Genomic DNA, 17,628 nt, shown 5'->3' on the forward strand with positions numbered 1-17,628 from the left:
TTAGCCAGGTGTGGTGGCAAGCACCTGTAATCCCAGCTACTCAGGAAGCTGAGGCAGGAGAATCGCTTGAACCCAGGAGGCGGAGGTTGCAGTGAGCCGAGATCATGCCACTGCACTCCAGCCTGGGAGACAGGAGTGAAACTCCATCTCAAAAAAAAAAAAAAAGAACTTTTATACACAATATAGGTATAAAAATGGTGCCACTAATCACAATTCACTTTATACACTCATGAAAATGGTTCTATCAAACTGCCTTCCCTTCCCCTCCAATTAGTTTGAACTACTGAGGTATCTGGGTATGCAATAAATATTCAAAAGTTCCAAACATTAAAAGCCAAACTAGAGAATTCTGAAAACAATCTAAATCTGGGTTGTGTAAGTAACTAATTAAACCTTGGTTGAGGCAGATCTATGTAAAAGGAAGCCCTGAACGCATGTGGTGAGGGACGTTTGAATTTGCAAGTTCACCAGAGAGTCGCACAGTCAAGCTGAACCACTTAGCAACCAGTGCCCAGGGTTGGTTTGCCTTTGATGAGCAAGTTAGACAAACGCCCTTCCGACTTGACCTCTCTTTAGTATTATAAGAATCTACATAATCTGTTCCTTTCATTCTGCAAAGGATCAAATCTTCAATAACAGGCAAGAAAATGCAACTCCTGTCCAAGTGAGAAGTCAACTATAACAGGGCTGGTTATAGTTGACTTCTTACTTCTAACTGGGCTTTAAATAAAACAGTTCCAAGGAGGACCAGAAGGATCATGTGACCAGGAGATGAACAAAGTTCCCGACAGAATGAAAGTCCTCTTATAGCCCATGGAATAGGGAAGTGGAGAGTATAAAAACAGAAGGGTCTAATACAGTCTTCTTGGTATTAGAAACTAAACTCTGTTTATGACGTTATGTGGCAGAACAATTATAAAGTGTTCTAAGGCAAATGAGATAAAATACCAGATTTATTGTCATTAGCAAAGAAGACAAAAATAAAAACTGCTCTTCTGAAGTAATTTATAAATCATTCCAAATCTTTCAACATTGAAACTATTCCAATTCAATATATATACTCTGAAAATAAGCTGTTTTTCCTTTCCACAAATTTTCTTTAGTAACAAAACAAAACACAGAGCATTGATGGTCTTAATATCCTCATTTTAAAAAATGCTAATGCCGCCTCTAAGGGAGTTCTTACCCTGTCCTAAAACTCCAAAGCTAAACTAGTTGAATGTTAATAATTTGAAGACCACCTAACCAGGGTGAGCAGGTGCCTCGGCATCACAGCTCCCCACAAGACACATTCCAGATGACACAAGATCACGAACCACACCTAACTCTGTCCAACCTGTTGTTAAAGTAACTGCAAGACAAAACCCCAAAACTGTCAGTCTATAATTCATGTTATAGCACATCAAGTACAAAATATTCCAAATCAAAGAAGTTTTGTTTTGTTCTCAAAATGTACTTAAACATTCTACCATATGGAGAAAACATAATTTATCCCATTACGCAAAAAACATTTGTCAGCCTACTGCTGATCAAAGACTTTTCATTTGGCCCACCAAAAGAAGAAAAAAACGCTGGCCACCAAGCCTTAACACCAAGCTGTCCAATACTCATACCCCAGACCAACTTCAGAATTAGATTCCTGGGCTCACGTTTATCGCTTCCCTCCAAAAGCAAGATCGTAAGATATAAGTTGCTTAGCACACAGGATTTCTGGAAAGTTCTCTACTCTGGTTAAACAAATAATACTTCCCAGCTGTTTCTCTTAACGTTCAAATACACATAAAAATAAAAAATTTCCTGAAAAGAATCAGTTTGCATTGTGCAACTGATCTATCTTGAAACAATGTTTTATCCACATTTTCTCCCTGATGTCAATATTTATTCAGGTCTGTACCAAAGGAGTATCTGGGTGCTCCTTTGTGAAGTCCTTCTTAATAAAACTTGTGGACAGTTTCATAACACGTTCATAGCAAGGGATCCACAATCATCAACTTACTTTTGAAACTCCCTGTAACTACTGAGTCCATACATTTTTGTTGCTTTAATGTGTGTACATTTGCTTCAAAGCTATCTTGTCAAAACGGGGCATGGAGGAACCTCAGGTACTTTCGTAGAAAGACAAGAAACATTGGAAGCAGGTAGTCTCCATCTTCCTAGCATTTTGGCCCACAGCACGAAGGCAAAGTCATCTAGCATCCCCAAGTTGAGCTCTAAAAATAATAGTTTTTGCAGTCAATTTCTAACCTGACTCATCAGTAGCCTCCAATCAACTAATAAACACAGTAAGAGGGCTTTCTTTTTAAGAGATGGCAGTCTCACTATGTTGTCCAGGCTGGTCTCAAACTCCTAGCCTCAAGCAATCCTCCCACTTCAGCATCCTGAGTAGCTAGAATACAGGCATGAGCCACTGTGCCCAGCTATGGATTTTAATTTTGTACTCCAGAACTTCATTCATGTACTCACTGTATCTTGTAGCATTCAGGAAATAAAATGTAAAAGCACATTAGTCAATTACGTAACTTGTATTGTAACCTAAGAAATACACCCTAGAAAGAGGCCTGGCGCAGTGGCTCATGCCTATAATCCCAGCACTTTGGAAGGCTGAGGTGGGAGGGACACTTGAGCCCAGAAGTTCAAGACCAGCCTGGGCAACATAATGAAACCCTGTCTCTACAACAAATAAAAAATAAGAAATTAGCTGGGTGTGGTGGCACACATCCGTAGTCCCAGTTCCTGGACTGGGAAGGAAGGAGGACTACTTGAGCCCAGGAAGTTGAGGCTACAGTGAGCTGTGATCACACCACTGTGCTTCAGCCTGGGCAACAGAACAAGACCCTGTATCACCAGGAAAAAAAAATACATACAAATTATGAATATATATATATACACACACACACACATATATATATATGCCCTAGAAATAAAGAGGTGAGTCTTTCTTTTTGTCTTCTTTCTATTCTCTAATTTTTCTACGTTGAATCTGTAATATTTGTAGGATTTTAAGTTTTTTTTAACTTTTTTTTTTTTTTTGAGACAGAGTCTTGCTCTGTTGCCCAGGCTGGAGTGCAGTGGTACAACTTCTCCCTCCCAGATTCAAGCAATTCTCCTGCCTCAGCCTCCCGAATAGCTGGGATTACAGGTACGCACCACCACACCCAGCTAATTTTTGTATTTTTAGTAGAGACAGGGTTTCACCATGTTGGCCAGGCTGGTCTCAAACTCCTGATCTCAAGTGGCCCACCTTGGCCTCCCAAAGTGCCGGGATTACAGGCGTGATCTCCAAGCCTGGCCATTTTTTTTTTTTTAAGCACACCTTCATGGTGAGGTATTTCAAATGTTTTCACTCATTTATTTAATTCAACATGCATTTTTGAGCGCCAGCTCCATGCCCACACTGTGACAGACTCTGGGGAATCACACTTATTTGGAGTCTTTCTAAAGGAAGTTTTTATCATGTTTATACTTAATATGAGAAAAATGAAAACTAGTAAAGGAAATGACCTGCTGGCACAGGAAGCAGCAGCAGAGGCTTTTTCTGTAAACTTCCTAGGACAGATCTTAGCTAAAAGTGAGGAAGAAGTTTCCAGCAACTTGAGCCGAGACATCTGCCTCTGCCCAGGTTGTTCTCACTGGTGTTAGTCAGCAAGGTCTGATCCTGAGTATGGAACTCGTTAACAAGGAGGAGGAGCGTGGAGAGGCCCAGAGAGGATTCTAACATCCGTCACCAAATGGACAGAAAAGGCACTAACCCAATTTAAAATTATATCACCGGGTGGAAATAAAATCTAAAGAAACAGCTTTTCTAATAAAGAGGTTCAGGGTGTCACAGGAAGGACAGGAAAAAAATCATACCCCATTTTCTATTAGAAATGATTTACTTTGATCATCATTCCATCTGTTGTCGGGCTGCAGACAAAGTCAGCTACATTTGACCTTATCAAATATTTATAATCAGAATATAGCCTCAAACAAAAATAAGATACATTTTGAAAACATCGTGGTCAACTTTGATCCCTATGTGTGATGAAGTGTGTCCTCTTATACCTCAAAGGACACAGCTGCAGATCTTTGCAGGTGTTTGATAAACTCCTTGATACCAGATATTCTGCTTTGTCAAATGACAAAGTATCTGCAAGGATAGGCTAATTGTAACATTCTACATGCACAACTTAGCTAGATATTTTGAAACTCCAAGGCTATTGCTCTCTACCTTTTATTCTCTCTGAATCTGTGAAACCAACCATACCCGCCTTCAGCTCACTGATCATCCTTAATGCTTCCTTTAAGGTACTATCTTCATCCAGTTCAACATTTATCAGGTGCCTAATATGTGCCAGGCACTATAGGGTATACAGACGAATGAGACAGTTCCTGCTCACGAGGAGCTTACAGTCTGATGCTTTGGTTCTTCAAAAAAATGCACACAAACTTTCAGACTCCCCAAAGCCCATTAATTCACAGGCTCAACAGATCTGTGAATCTCAGATTAAGAACTCAACCCAGTGCAAAAACAAAAGGAGTCCACAGCAAGTTCTTAACAGGTAAATAACTGTGAGCTGTAATTAGACACTAATAGAATTGCAGAGCGTACACAGATACAAATCATACACATCCCCAGCTTATGACAGGGCAGAGGTGGAAAGACAGCAAGGTAAGTCTCGAAATAAACACATATGCTGACATTAAGAAAGACTTGAAACTAAAATATGCTGTTTGTTAGTCCAATTAGTTGTGGCACCTTATGTTCCAACCTGCAGCACAGCTGCTAGGACCTTGGTTCGTTTCCTGTCTTACTTAGAAATGAAAGTAGAGGAACAACGACTTTTGAAACAATGAACAGGGAATTAAGAAGCAAGGGCAGATTTCAGTTTTCAATGGGTTCACTGATTCCCTAAACAGAAGTGGAGTGACTCATCGTTTTCCATGCCTCACGCAAGAAGCGGGGGAGACGAGCACAAAGGGAGTTAAAGGTGGTCTGGTTTCTGTTTGTTGTTTAAGTTACCTCTGCATCATATCTGACTGCAGCAGAGAATAGCGAAAAGGCATTCTCCACAGTAATTCCTCTCTTGATAATGTGCTGACAAAGTTTTTTCAGTCTGTTTTCACAGTAAGATGTCGCCAAATCCAGAAGACCTAAAAGTAAAATATGTGAAAGGTTTAATCAAATGTATAATAATTTCCAATACACAGAGATTTTGTTTTGGTGAACAGAGGTGTACAGGTAAATTAGAAGTTTCTTAGTGGATAAGATTCTGAATTTGAGTAAATAAATTCTCTTTTTTACTGTCTGCCTCCTCCACTTCCACACCTCTCCTATATTTACTTTATACAATTTCTTCAATAGTGCAAAGAAAGAGCAAAAAATGCAATTTCAATCCTCATTTTGTTTCTAAAACGCTAAATGCATTAGCAACTTATACTTCACTACTAGAAAATTAAAATAAGCCCATAGCTTAATACCTAGGTGATGGGTTGACAGGTACAGCAAACCACCATGGCACACGTTTACCTATGTAACAAGCCTACACATCCTGCACGTGTACCCCAGAACTTAAAAATAAATTAAAAAAAAAAAAGTCCTTCAGTAACATTAGAACAAAAAAGCCTATGGTCATAAACTAGGTCCAAAACTATTAACCATAATAACTACACAATACTACTTTTAAAGATACTTACTTCAAATCTTTTTTAAGCACCAAATTAAAGCCAATACACCTGAAGCTTTTTACATTTCAGGACTAAGAATATGAGGGGATATATTCTCCACCATGCGGCTCGTCCATCCCAATGCTACCACAGTACCTATAGCATCTTCTGGCGGCAGGTCGACTGTGTCTGTGTAGAGGTACTGGAGAAAGGCACGATACACTGGGTAAGAAAACTGATCGATTTCTATCACTTCCTTCATGTCTTCATTCCAATACGACTGGAACATGGATCGAAAATGCTCACACCTAAAACAGCAAAGCAAAAGTCTTATTTGTTCAGCAGCAATTTTTAAAAAAGAAAAAAAAATTACCTAATTAAGTTGATAAAATCAGATAAACAGAAGTATCCTTGGGCCGGGCGTGGTGGCTCATGCCTGTAATCCCAGCACTTTGGGAGGCCAAGCGGGTAGATCACCTGAGATCAGGAGTTCGAGACCAGCCTGACCAACATGGATAAACCCCGTCTCTACTAAAAATACAAAATTAGCTGGGCATGGTGGTGCATGCCTATAATCCCAGCTACTCAGGAGGCTGAGGCAGGAGAATCGCTTGAACCCGGGAGGTGGAGGTTGTGGCGAGCCGAGATTGCGCTTCTGCACTCTAGCCTGGCAACAAGAGCAAAACTCCGTCTCAAAAAAAAAAAAAAAGTAAGTATATTAACTACTATCTGGGCCTGAACACACCAGGATCACAGACCTTTAGTTAGCACCCAAAAAACATTCCACATGCAAGTGGTTTTTGTACATGCCTTTTACATACACTCACTTTCATTTTTTGTAACTCCTATTAAATACTAATAGGTATACATAGAGCCTGGAAGTACCTAGCACTTCCACTACTGTTTCCATTTGATGGTCCCCAAGATTTTTTTGCTCCTTTGTTTTTTTTAAAATGATGTACAGAAATGCATTTTAAACAATAAAGTGAAAGAAATTCAGAAACAAGAGTTCAAAACTTTTGACTATGTATCAACATTAAAATGATTCATTTGTTTTTTGTTTTACATAATAAGCATATTCTTAAAACTGTTTTATATGTTAACTGGATTACATCAAGCTGATTATTGTCTGATTATCCGACAATTTTTCTTCTTTTCTGACTTATCGTCAAAACAGCCATCACTCCTTTTTTTTTTTTGCATTGCCTGTTCCCCTTCCTCTCTTCCCAGGCCTGCTACAAGCTTATTTATAAAACACTCACATCCACTAGGATAGTCAGATATTTCAAGAAAACCTGAGCAGCTCCTACACTGTATTTACATGTACAAAGCCACCTGCACAAGAAACTGATTTCTGAATATTGGATTTTCTTATGTATAACACAGTTGTATCTTTCTAAAAATCATATTTTTAAATTATTTTAAAGTGAGATACGGCACAAAGAGAAAAAGTATTCTGAGGTGCAGTGGCTCAAGCCTGTAATTCCAGCACTTTGGGAGGCCGAGGCAGGTCAGCCTCAATCACCTGAGGTCAGGAGTTTGAGACCGGCCTGGCCAACATGGCGAAACTTTGTCTCTACTTAAAATACAAAAATTAGCTGGGCGTGGTTAGTGCACGATTGTAATCCCAGCTACTTGGGAGGCTGAAGCTGGAAGATCGCTTGAACACAGGAGGTGGAGGTTGCAGTGAGCTGGTATTACGCCACTGCACTCTAGCCTGGGTGACAGAATGAGTCTCTGTCTCAAAAAAAAAAGAAAAAGAATCCATTCAGAATACTAAAAAAATAGTTTCACTTACATAAAAAATTACCTGAGAAATAAAAAAGAAATAGTTGTCTAAGAAAGAATCATGGATTTCATGGTCAGAAAACTGTACATGAAAGGAATAGACTGGTTGACCACAGGTGCACAGACAGAAACAGTTCCAGTTCATCTTTTCAATTAATACTGTGGTTCAGATATTTACTCCCTTAGGTAAGGAATGACATAGGGCTTTTCTGTTCCTTTCAAATGTATTTCTTTGCCAATAGGTTTTTACCTAAATTTCCAAAAAGACTTGTAAATGGCCACTTTAATGGTCTTAGCTTATGTGCCTTTTTCTGCAATGGCAACCTTTGTGGCAAACAGTTACTAATAAACGCATAGGTCCCTCACATTTATACAAGGAACTATATCTTAAAAACTTTTTTTTTCATTTTTGAGATAAGATCTCACTCTGTCTCCCAGGATGATCACAGCTCACCACAGCCTTGATCTACTGGGCTCAAGCAATCCTTCCACCTCAGCCTCCAGAGCAGCTGGAACTACAGGAATGCACCACCACACCTGGCTAATTTTTTCTATTTTTTGTAGAGACAGTGTCTCGCTATATTGCCTAGGCTGGTCTCAGACTCCTAGGATCAAGTGATATTCCCGCCTTGGCCTCCCAAAGTCCTAGGATTACAGGCATGAGCCACCATGCTGAGCCTAGAACATTCTTCAATTGGTAATTGCATGTCCCTTAGAAACAGAAGCACAGCATTCCTATGAGAGTTTTCTGCTTAATCTATAATTAAAAGAGGGCATATACACTTTTCAATAACAACCTTTTGTATTTTCTTTAACCACGTAAATAAATTTTCTGATGGAAATGAGTATTCACCAGATTCTTAATTTAAAAAACAATATAAGCTGGGCGTGGTAGCTCACATCTGTAATGCCAGCACTTTGGGAGGCTGAGGCGGGCAGATCACCTGAGATCGGGAGTTCGAGACCAACCTGACCAACATGGAGAAACCCCATCTCTATTATAAATACAAAATTAGCCAGGCATGGTGGCGCCTGCCTGTAATCCCAGCTACTCAGGAGGCTGAGGCAGGAGAATCACTTAAACCCGGGAGGCAGAGGTTGCGGTGAGCTGAGATCGTGCCACTGCACTCCAGCCTGAGCAACAAGAGTGAAACTCTGTCTCAAAGAAACAAACAAACAAACAAACAAACAAACACAAAAAACCAATATGGACAAATACTTAAATTCCTACATTACACTTTTTCTAAAACGCTCCATGAGTGTACACAAAAAACTCTTTGACATGAAATGGACTGATACTATCTGCAAAAATATTAAGTAGTGACATTTCTCTCTACTACCAAGGCTATTTTTTATCAGTACTCATTTTGTGGAATAACAAAGAAAGAAAAGTCAAGTTATTGATGTCTCTGAGCTCATGCAAAAATACCTGATTTTCAAAACAGCTTTATGGACATGAATATATTTTCCATCAATTCGAAACTTCAGATCAGCAGTTTCTGGACTATCAAATTCTTTCTTCAGTGACTCTGCAACTGTTAAAAAGTCTTCATGCTCTGAAGGCAACAAACATATATTAATATGGCAAGTTCAAGGAACAGATTGAAGATTCAAAAGACTTCAAAAAGATCATCATGACCGTGATGGATAATTCCACTTGTTTTTTTTTCAAGAGTTCATACCTTGTTTGACAAATCAATTCTACGGTATTAAAGTAAGTATCCTGCATCTATAAACTACCAAAGAAAACCACCAAAAGATGGTATTTAGAAAGGCTAAATACCATCTTATATGCCTAGTTATACATTAGAAATGTATATTTTTAAAGAAAAAAATTATAGGTACTTCATGATAATATAATAACCCCCTCTCAAAACGAGTGGTTCTCTTCTAAGACTAAGAATTTGTTTCCCTTGACTGAAACACTAAGAATATCTTTTTTCTGCTTTGGGGTACTTTCAAGGGGTCAGCATACCCAACTCAAGGAGGTGCAAGAAACAAACTTACCACTTAAATGGTAATGCTAAGCGGTCATGTTCTCAAGCAGAGAAACTCTTTCCTAAGTATCTGGAATCTAAACATCTCTGTTAACCCTAAAAATCACTATATGCATAATCCTTACTCACTGTCTAAACACAGAGCAAATTCACTTAGAAACAACACCTACATGAAGGGAACAGTTTTATAAGAACACAGGATCACCTTACCTGATAAGAAGAATTGCTGTTGTGGTTATATGTTAAGTAGAACTGTGTTACTACAAGGAAAAGTAAAGGCACTTGTACAAATTCCCGGAATGCTTTCTTGTGTTTTATATGTATGAAAGAAGAAAAGAAGCAGAAAAGGGCTAATGGGGAAATTTTTTTAAATTCCAGAGATCCTGACCAGGCATCGAATCAAGCTGCTATGGATACACGAAGCAGGTTTCAACTGCCCACAGCTGAGTTAATAATCAGTGTCTTAATCAAAGACCTCGGCTTCCAAGCCTGGGATGAACCATTTTCCCTTGGTAGCGTGCTGTTACCAGAGCAACTCCTAGAGGAGGGACAACAGCTAAAACCTAGGCTGAAACTCAACAAATGAGCTTATCTGCAAGCTTTATCATCAGACTCTCCCCCAAGGCATTACCTTTCACCTAAGCCCTGTGACCTTAACTGACAGCCCTCCCTCCACCCCATGCAATGCAGAGCTCTCCTGGCTACAGAGGAAAGGTAGAAAACCTCTCAAAAGTCAGGCTTCCCCTGACCTTGCAACCTGGATCACTGGTGGGTAAAAGAATACAAATGACTAAGATGGGCCAAGAGTCCAGGAGTCTAGATTGCTACCCCCACCCATCCAAAAAAAAACCCACTTCTCATCAGTGCTTCAACTTCTGCATCCAGTCTTAGGCTGAAATGACTCTTTCTCCTCTTTGCTCCTGGCAACAAGTATAGTACATCCTTTCAGAGAAGAAATCCTCCTCAAAGGGGTGAATTCACCATGTGACTTTCCGTCTAACACTCAGATGAGATCACAAAGTGAGAGGGAAAAAACACTTTTGACTTTCAGTGGGTGGAAGGGAAAGAAGTTATCTAGGACAGCAGTCCCCAACCTTTTTGGTACCAGGGACCAGTTTTGTGGAAGACAATTTTTCCACGGACCGAGGCGGGGAGGAGGATGGTTTGGGGATGATTCAAGCACATTATGTTTATTGTGCACTTAATTTTTATTATTGTTACACTGTAATATGTAATGAAATAATTACACAACTCACCATAATGTAGAATCAGTGGGAGTCCTGAGCTTGTTTTCCTACAACTGGACGGCCCCATCTGGGGGTGATGGGAGACAGTGACAGATCATCTAGGCATTAGATTCTCATAAGGAGCTCGCAACCTGTATCCCTCGCATGTGCAGTTCACAATAGGGCTTACGCTTCTTTGAGAATCTAATACCGCTGCTGATCTGATGGGAGGTGGAGCTCAGGCGGTAATGTGAGTGATGGGGAGCAGCTGTAAATACAGATGAAGCTTCGCTCACTGCCACTCACCTCCTGCCGTGCAACCCAGTTAATAACAGGCCACGGACCAGTACAGGCATATGGCCTGGGGTGTGGGGACCCCTGATCTAGGAGGATATAGTCAATGACCATATTTTTTCCAAACTTAACATTTAAATTGTTAGGACATTTGTTCTGAAAAGAATGCCTGTGCCATTTTAAGATATAAGAACTGGGGGAAGCCTTTTATAACAAGTCCAGGTTAAGTAGTATATACAAATCTGAAGATGTGTACAGAAGTGCTTCAGCTGGGTATGCCATACATGTGCAATTCTGGCCAAATAGTCCCATTCAGTGAACCAATTATTTTCCAATCACAATACTCACTGCAAAAAAAAAAAAATACTGTATTATACCTAAAGAACATGGCAAAAATAAAGTGAAAGGGAGTATTCAATTGGTTTCACTTTAAGGCAAGCTTAACTCTTCCTAAGCACCCTTGCCTCCATGCCCATGACTGGTCACCTAATTGGGACAACTCCACCTGTCTGACACACCTAAGCATGACGTTTTAGAAAATTAACCTTCAATATCAATTGCTGAACAACCCAAACACCTTAACTGCCAAGAACTACATTAATTTTCAAGCACAGAGCATCATGACCCACTTATTCCCTCTGCTTATAAATAAAACAACTTAAAAGAAATATGCTAGCAAAAAGGCAAACATAAACAAGAAATAAAATAAAAAGATTAAAGTCACCTTGTAAATGGCTACTCAGTTTTAAGACATCCTAGCTTTTTCAGCCAATAATGGACTCTTAAAGAAGACAATATTCAGAAAAGGTACAGATTATGTAACCAAATATCACCCCAAATTCCACTACCCTTTATAATACCTCTGTTTTGATGCCCTTCTGAAATAAAAGAATTTGAAATCAGTTGAAAGACAAAGATAGAAAGAAAGAAGATGGGGTTAATGTGTCACCTTAAAAACCACAAGTTGTTTGCTTTTTTTATTGAGACAGGGTCTCGCTGTGTCACCCAGGCTGGAGTGCAGTGGTGCGACCACAGTTCACTGCAGCCTTGACCTCCCAGGCTCAAGCAATTCTCCACCTCAGCCTCCTGAGTAGCTGATACTACAGGCAGGCACCACCACTCCTGGTTATTTTTTGTAGAGATGGGGTTTCGCCATGTTGCCCAGGCTGGTCTAAAACTCCTGAGCTCAAGCAATCCACCCACCTTGGCCTCCCAAAGTGCTGAGATTACAGGTGTGAGCCACCACACCCAGCCGGTTCTTCACTTTTTTGAAAGTTCATTTTTGGACCAGGCGCAGTGGCTCACGCCTGTAATCCCAGCACTTTGGGAGGCTGAGGCGGGCGGATCACGAGGTCAGGAGTTCCTGACCAGCCTGATCAACATTGTGAAACTCTGTCTCTACTAAAAATATAAAAAAATTAGCCAGGCATGGTGGCACGCGCCTGTAATCCCAGCTACTCAGGAGGCTAAGGCAGGAGAACTTGAACCTGGGAGGCGGAGGCTGCAGTGAGCCGAGATCGCGCCATTGCACCCCAGCCTGGGTAACAGAGTGAGACTCCGTCTCAAAAAAAAAAAAAAAAAGAAAAGAAAGTTCATCTTTGATTGGTATTATATCAAGTTCTGTAAGAAATCTAGTATAACAGAAGTGCTTAAGAACAGGCTACCCAAAAACTTATACAAGAACAGTCATGACAGCACTACCCACGAGAGTCAAAGGTGGGAACAACCCACATGTCCATCAACAGTTAAGTGACAAACAAAATATGGTGTATATATATATAATGGAATATTATTCAGTCATAAAAGGGAATGAAATACAGAGACATATTACGTCAATGGGCCTCAAAAACATTAAGTAAAAGAAGCCAGACACATGGGTCACATATTGTATGCTTCCGCTTATATGAACTCTCCAGAGTCGGCAAATCCATAGAAACAAAAAGCAAACTAGTGGTTGCTAGGGGTTGGGGGGAGAGGAGAATGGAGTGTGACTAATTAACGTATAAGGGCTTTCTTCTGGGGTGATTAAAACAATTTAGAATTTGACATAAAGGGTGGATGTAGGCCAGGCACAGTGGCAGGTGGATCACCTGAGGTCAGGAGTTCGAGAACAGCCTGGCCAACATGGTGAAACCCCACCTCTACTAAAAATACAAAAATTAGCTGGGTGTGGTGGCTGGTGCCTGTAGTCTTACTACTTGGGAGGCTGAGGCAGGAAAATCTCTTGAACTCGGGAGGTGGAGGTTGCAGTGAGCCGAGATTGCACCACTGCACTCCAGCCTGGGCGACAGAGTGAGATTCTGTCTCAATAAAAAAAAAAAAAAAGGTGGATGTACAACATTATGAATGTTCTAAACGCAACTAAACTGTACCCTTTACAATGGTTAATTGCATGTTATGCGAATTTGATATCAATTGAAATGAAAGCACTTATGAGAGAAAATTTAAAGTTCATGGTAATATTTTATAATATATGAATACATTTGATTATGCACATCTATTTTGACGGAACGTATGAAAGCTAATAGAGAATAAAACATTCTGAGAGATCCCAAAACCAGCAAAGACACAGGAAAACTGGTCAGTTGGTAGTACCATTCTTCCTGGGTGGAGGTGGCCCTGCACTTTCTTACCCACAGACAGGAGGCGCCACGAGACGGCGGGAGTGGCAAAGCAGGCAAACACGTCGTCGGTGCAGGAGAAGTGGGTGAGGTGCGGGAGGATCACGGACTGACCCCGGCACTGGCCCCACATGTACACGTGCCCACCCTGCGTCTTGGCTGCAGACGTGTGGGCAGAGTGACAGGCTGCAATCTCTACCACCCTGAAAAGTTTTAAGAAAAATGCATGTTACTTCATGATCACAGAAGCCCACAGCACACCACACAAGGCAATTTAAAAGTTCATGCTTGCAATACCTCAGAAAACAGTCCAAGTTCCAGGGACACTAGCTGCCAAGTCACAGCAACAAAAGCAACAGATCAGGGCAAGAGCACTGTTCTCCTTTCCCAAATGCCCACTTCTCATCCTCAGCTCACTGTGAGTTAGGATAGATCACACAGACCGCCGAGGAAAACTTGGAAAACAGACCAGCAAATCCAAGCAAATGAGGAAAGTGGACACTGAGAAAATGCCCTAACAAATGTGATGGCTTAAATACCATTTCTTTTTTTTTTCTTTTTTGAGACAGGATCTCACTCCGTCACCCAGGCTAGAGCGCAGTGGCATGACCATGGCTCACTGCAGCCTCGACCTCCCAGGCTCAAGCAATCCTTCCACCTCAGCTTCCCAGACCACAGCTGCACCACCATACCCGGCTAAGTTTTGTATTTTTTATAGAGACAGAGTCTCGCTATATTGCCAGGGCCGGTCACCAACTCCTGGGCTCAAGTGATCCTCTGCCTTCGCCTCCCAAAGTGCTGGGGATTACAGGTGTAAGCCATCGTGCCTGGCCCATTTCTTTATAAATGTAACTTTTTCTCTCATCTCCTACCAGAGCTCAGAACACTCATTGGGCTGATAAGCATTGGCTGGGGGTCACGGACTCTGAACGTTCCAATCCAAAAGGAAAACAAGCCAAACTTACTATATTTCTCAGTAGTATGCTTCTTGGGTAAGGTCTCATAATCAGAAGTCAGCACTCCAGGACATAGGAGGTAAGACCTTACAATTAGGCTGAACAACATCAAGCATCTATTCCAGTAACACATATTATATCAAATCAATATTTAAACAGATAATGTCCTTTCAAGAGCAGATTTATTTAAAAGTTGTTTTACTTGGCTCAAAGTAAAAGTTTATATTACACCATAAACATCAACATGGCCATAGACCTTACTTGTCTTCCATACTAAAAGGGCAACAGCAAGACTGCAGTAATTATACCAAGATGCATTCACACCTATCAATCACAGGTGGTTATTTCAGAGAGCTACATAAGAATCATATCAACCTCATGTTCATTCTGGCTACTACTCAAAACACTTTTGCATAGGCCAGGCACGGTGGGGCTCATGCCTATAATCCCAGCACTTTGGGAGGCCGAGGTGGGTAGATCACTTGAGGCCAGGAGTTCAAGACCAGCCTGGCCAACATGGCGAAACCCTGTCTCTACTAAAAAATACAAAAATTAGCTGGGCATGGTGGTACACACCTGTAATCCCAGCTACTCAGGAGGCTGAGGCAGAAGAATCACTTGAACCCACGAAGTGAAGGTTGCAGTGAGCCGAGATCGTGCCATTGCACTCCAGTCTGGGTGACAGAGACTCTGTCTCAAAAAAGGGAAGGGAAGGGAAGGGAAGGGGGGAGGGAGAAGGGGGAAGGGGGAAGCAGGGAGGGAGAAGGAGGAAGGGGGAAGGGAGAAGGGAAGGTTATCTCTTTTGTCCAAAATGAGAATGTTAATAAACAGAAGAATCACAAAGCCAAACACCACAGCTCTGCCACACACAGCCCCAAGGCCACATCGCACACACAGTCCCAAGACGTGGCACAGCCAAGTTACCTTTCTTTCTCCACCATGATGTGTGCTGGGCTTAGCAGGTTATTTTTATTGCCAGTTCCCAGCTGCCCATATGTGTTAGCTCCCCAGGCATACAGCAAGCCCTCATCTGTTAGTGCTAGAGTATGTGCGTAACCGCAGACAATCTGCAAGTAAATTGAAACGGTTACCATTAGCAGGAAAACAGGAAGGGCAGGGAGAACATCTACTTAAAGGCTATAGCCAGCTTCTGCAGAATGCCAAATCATCATCAGGGGTGGACTGACATTTGCTGGAACATTAAAAAAGCATTAGAAGGCCGGGCGTGGTGGCTCATGCCTGTAATCCCAGCGCTTTGGGAGGCCGAGGCAGGCAGATCACAAGGTCAGGAGATTGAGACCATCCTGGCTAACACGGTGAAACCCCGTCTCTACTAAAAATACAAAAAATTAGCCAGGTGTGGTGGCGGCCATCTGTAGTCCCAGCTACTCGGGAGGATGAGGCAGGAGAATGGCGTGAACTCGGGAGGCGGAGCTTGCAGAGAGCTGAGATCGTGCCATTGCACTCCAGCCTGGGTGACAGAGGGAGACTCCGTCTCAAAAAAAAAAAAAAAAAAGCATTAGAAAAGCCTAAACCTTAGGCTACTGAATTTTTCCATTTTTTTTTTTTTTTTTAACTTGTCGAGCCTGTTTTGCCAACACCATAGTCTTGCTTCTCCTCGTGGGAAATTAGGGAAGATATAATATTAAATATGGAAGATGAAGGCACAGAGTATTGCCAGAAAAGACTGACTGAAGAGTAAACCTCCAATATTTCTCCAAGTTAGAGCAAGGAAGGTAGATGGGAAGCCACTAACTGAGAGTGCACCACACGTACCTGGTTCACACACACGCTGTGCAAAGCTGCCACTCTCACAGGGGTCAGCTGGTTGCCATTGTTTCCCAGGCCCAGCTGACCGTTGCCATTGTAACCCCAGCCATATACCTTAGAGAGGACAGAAGGGAGAGAGTGAGATTTTTAAACTGCTGGTAAGAAGGAAGAGACAAAAAAACCAGCCCATCTAAACAAATCAGATACTTCCAACACCTATATTCTACTCTATGCTCCTGCAACTGATCTCCAAACAGAAGCTATTTTGGAGAAGGGGATGACAGAATTGGCATCAGTTTCTACTCCATGACTTACTAGTTAGATAGTCTGGGGCAAGTCACTCTTTCCTGTTTAATACATGAGGAAGTTGAGCCTCACTAACAATTATTAAGTACCTACTGTATGTCAGAACACTCTGAAAGGTACTAGTTTTTGGTCACAGTTTAACAGGCGAAATAGATACATGCAAATTTTTTGCTGATGGGTAGCAAGTGCTACAATAGGTATAATCAAGGCGCTGCAGAACAGCAAGGAGGAAGGCTTTAGCTCTAGGAAGAAAGATTAAGGAAGACTTTTCAAAAAGTGGAGATTGGAGCAGAGCTGAAGGATGAAGGAGAGCAAAAACATTCCAAGCAGAAGGTATTGACTGTGTTAGAAGCTAGTTTAGAAGATAAGTAGGTGGGCTTGGCTGGACACAACTGCGGTAGTGGTAGTAGAAAGACTAGAAGAAGGCTGGGTGGGGTAGCTCACGCCTGTAATCCCAGCACTTTGGAAGGCCAGCGTGGGCAGATCACCAGGTCAGGAGATCGAGACCATCCTGGCCAACACAGTGAAACCCCATCTCTACTAAAAATACAAAAATTAGCTGGGCGTGGTGGCGCGTGCCTGTAACCCCAGCTACTCAGGAGGCTGAGACAGGAGAATCACTTGAACCTGGGAGGCAGAGGTTGCAGTGAGCCAAGATCGTGCTACCGTACTCCAGCCTGGCAACAACAACAACAAAAAGACTAGAAGGAAAGGCAAGAGCTCAGAGGGAAAGTGACAAAAAACCTACCAGGGAAAGTGCAATACATCTATAAATTTCTCATTGAAATATTAATTTAATTTGTATTTTTGAAAGATAATGCTGGCCACAGTATGAAAGATGATGGAGCATATAAGGCTAGAGGCAGGAAGAACCTTTAGGAGGTCATTTCTTCCCTCGTTAGCAAATAGGTGAGCTCTGATGAGGCTCTAAACTAAGGAGTGATAGGGGGATCATGAGAGGGAAAGCAGAGGAAAGAGGATTAAAAATAGAAGACTTCCCAGAACGTGACAGTCCCTTGGATAT

At 41.6% G+C, this 17,628-nt stretch overlaps 1 protein-coding gene across 15 annotated transcripts in view; it reads right to left on the reverse strand.

Annotated features, from left to right (window-relative positions):
• Window positions 1-17,628, reverse strand: part of RCBTB1 (RCC1 and BTB domain containing protein 1) — a 53,613-nt gene that overhangs the window by 3,928 nt on the left and 32,057 nt on the right. For 8 of the 15 annotated variants that reach the window (NM_001352501.2, NM_001352502.2, NM_001352503.2 and 5 more), the window contains 6 exons: window positions 16,305-16,412; window positions 15,453-15,595; window positions 13,585-13,775; window positions 8,864-8,990; window positions 5,803-5,954; window positions 5,003-5,133 (listed from right to left, as the gene is read on the reverse strand). In NM_001352501.2, the coding sequence (NP_001339430.1) occupies window positions 5,003-5,133; window positions 5,803-5,954; window positions 8,864-8,990; window positions 13,585-13,775; window positions 15,453-15,595; window positions 16,305-16,412 (852 nt within the window). Of the gene's footprint in view, window positions 1-4,534; window positions 5,134-5,802; window positions 5,955-8,863; window positions 8,991-10,620; window positions 11,299-13,584; window positions 13,776-13,869; window positions 14,028-14,537; window positions 14,592-14,691; window positions 15,219-15,452; window positions 15,596-16,304; window positions 16,413-17,628 lie in introns of those variants that run through there. The other 7 variants (NR_148015.2, NR_148016.2, NM_001352504.2 and 4 more) reach the window with 7 other exon arrangements.

The sequence above is a fragment of the Homo sapiens genome, chromosome 13, assembly GCF_000001405.40.
Source record: "Homo sapiens chromosome 13, GRCh38.p14 Primary Assembly".
Lineage (NCBI taxonomy): Eukaryota > Metazoa > Chordata > Mammalia > Primates > Hominidae > Homo > Homo sapiens.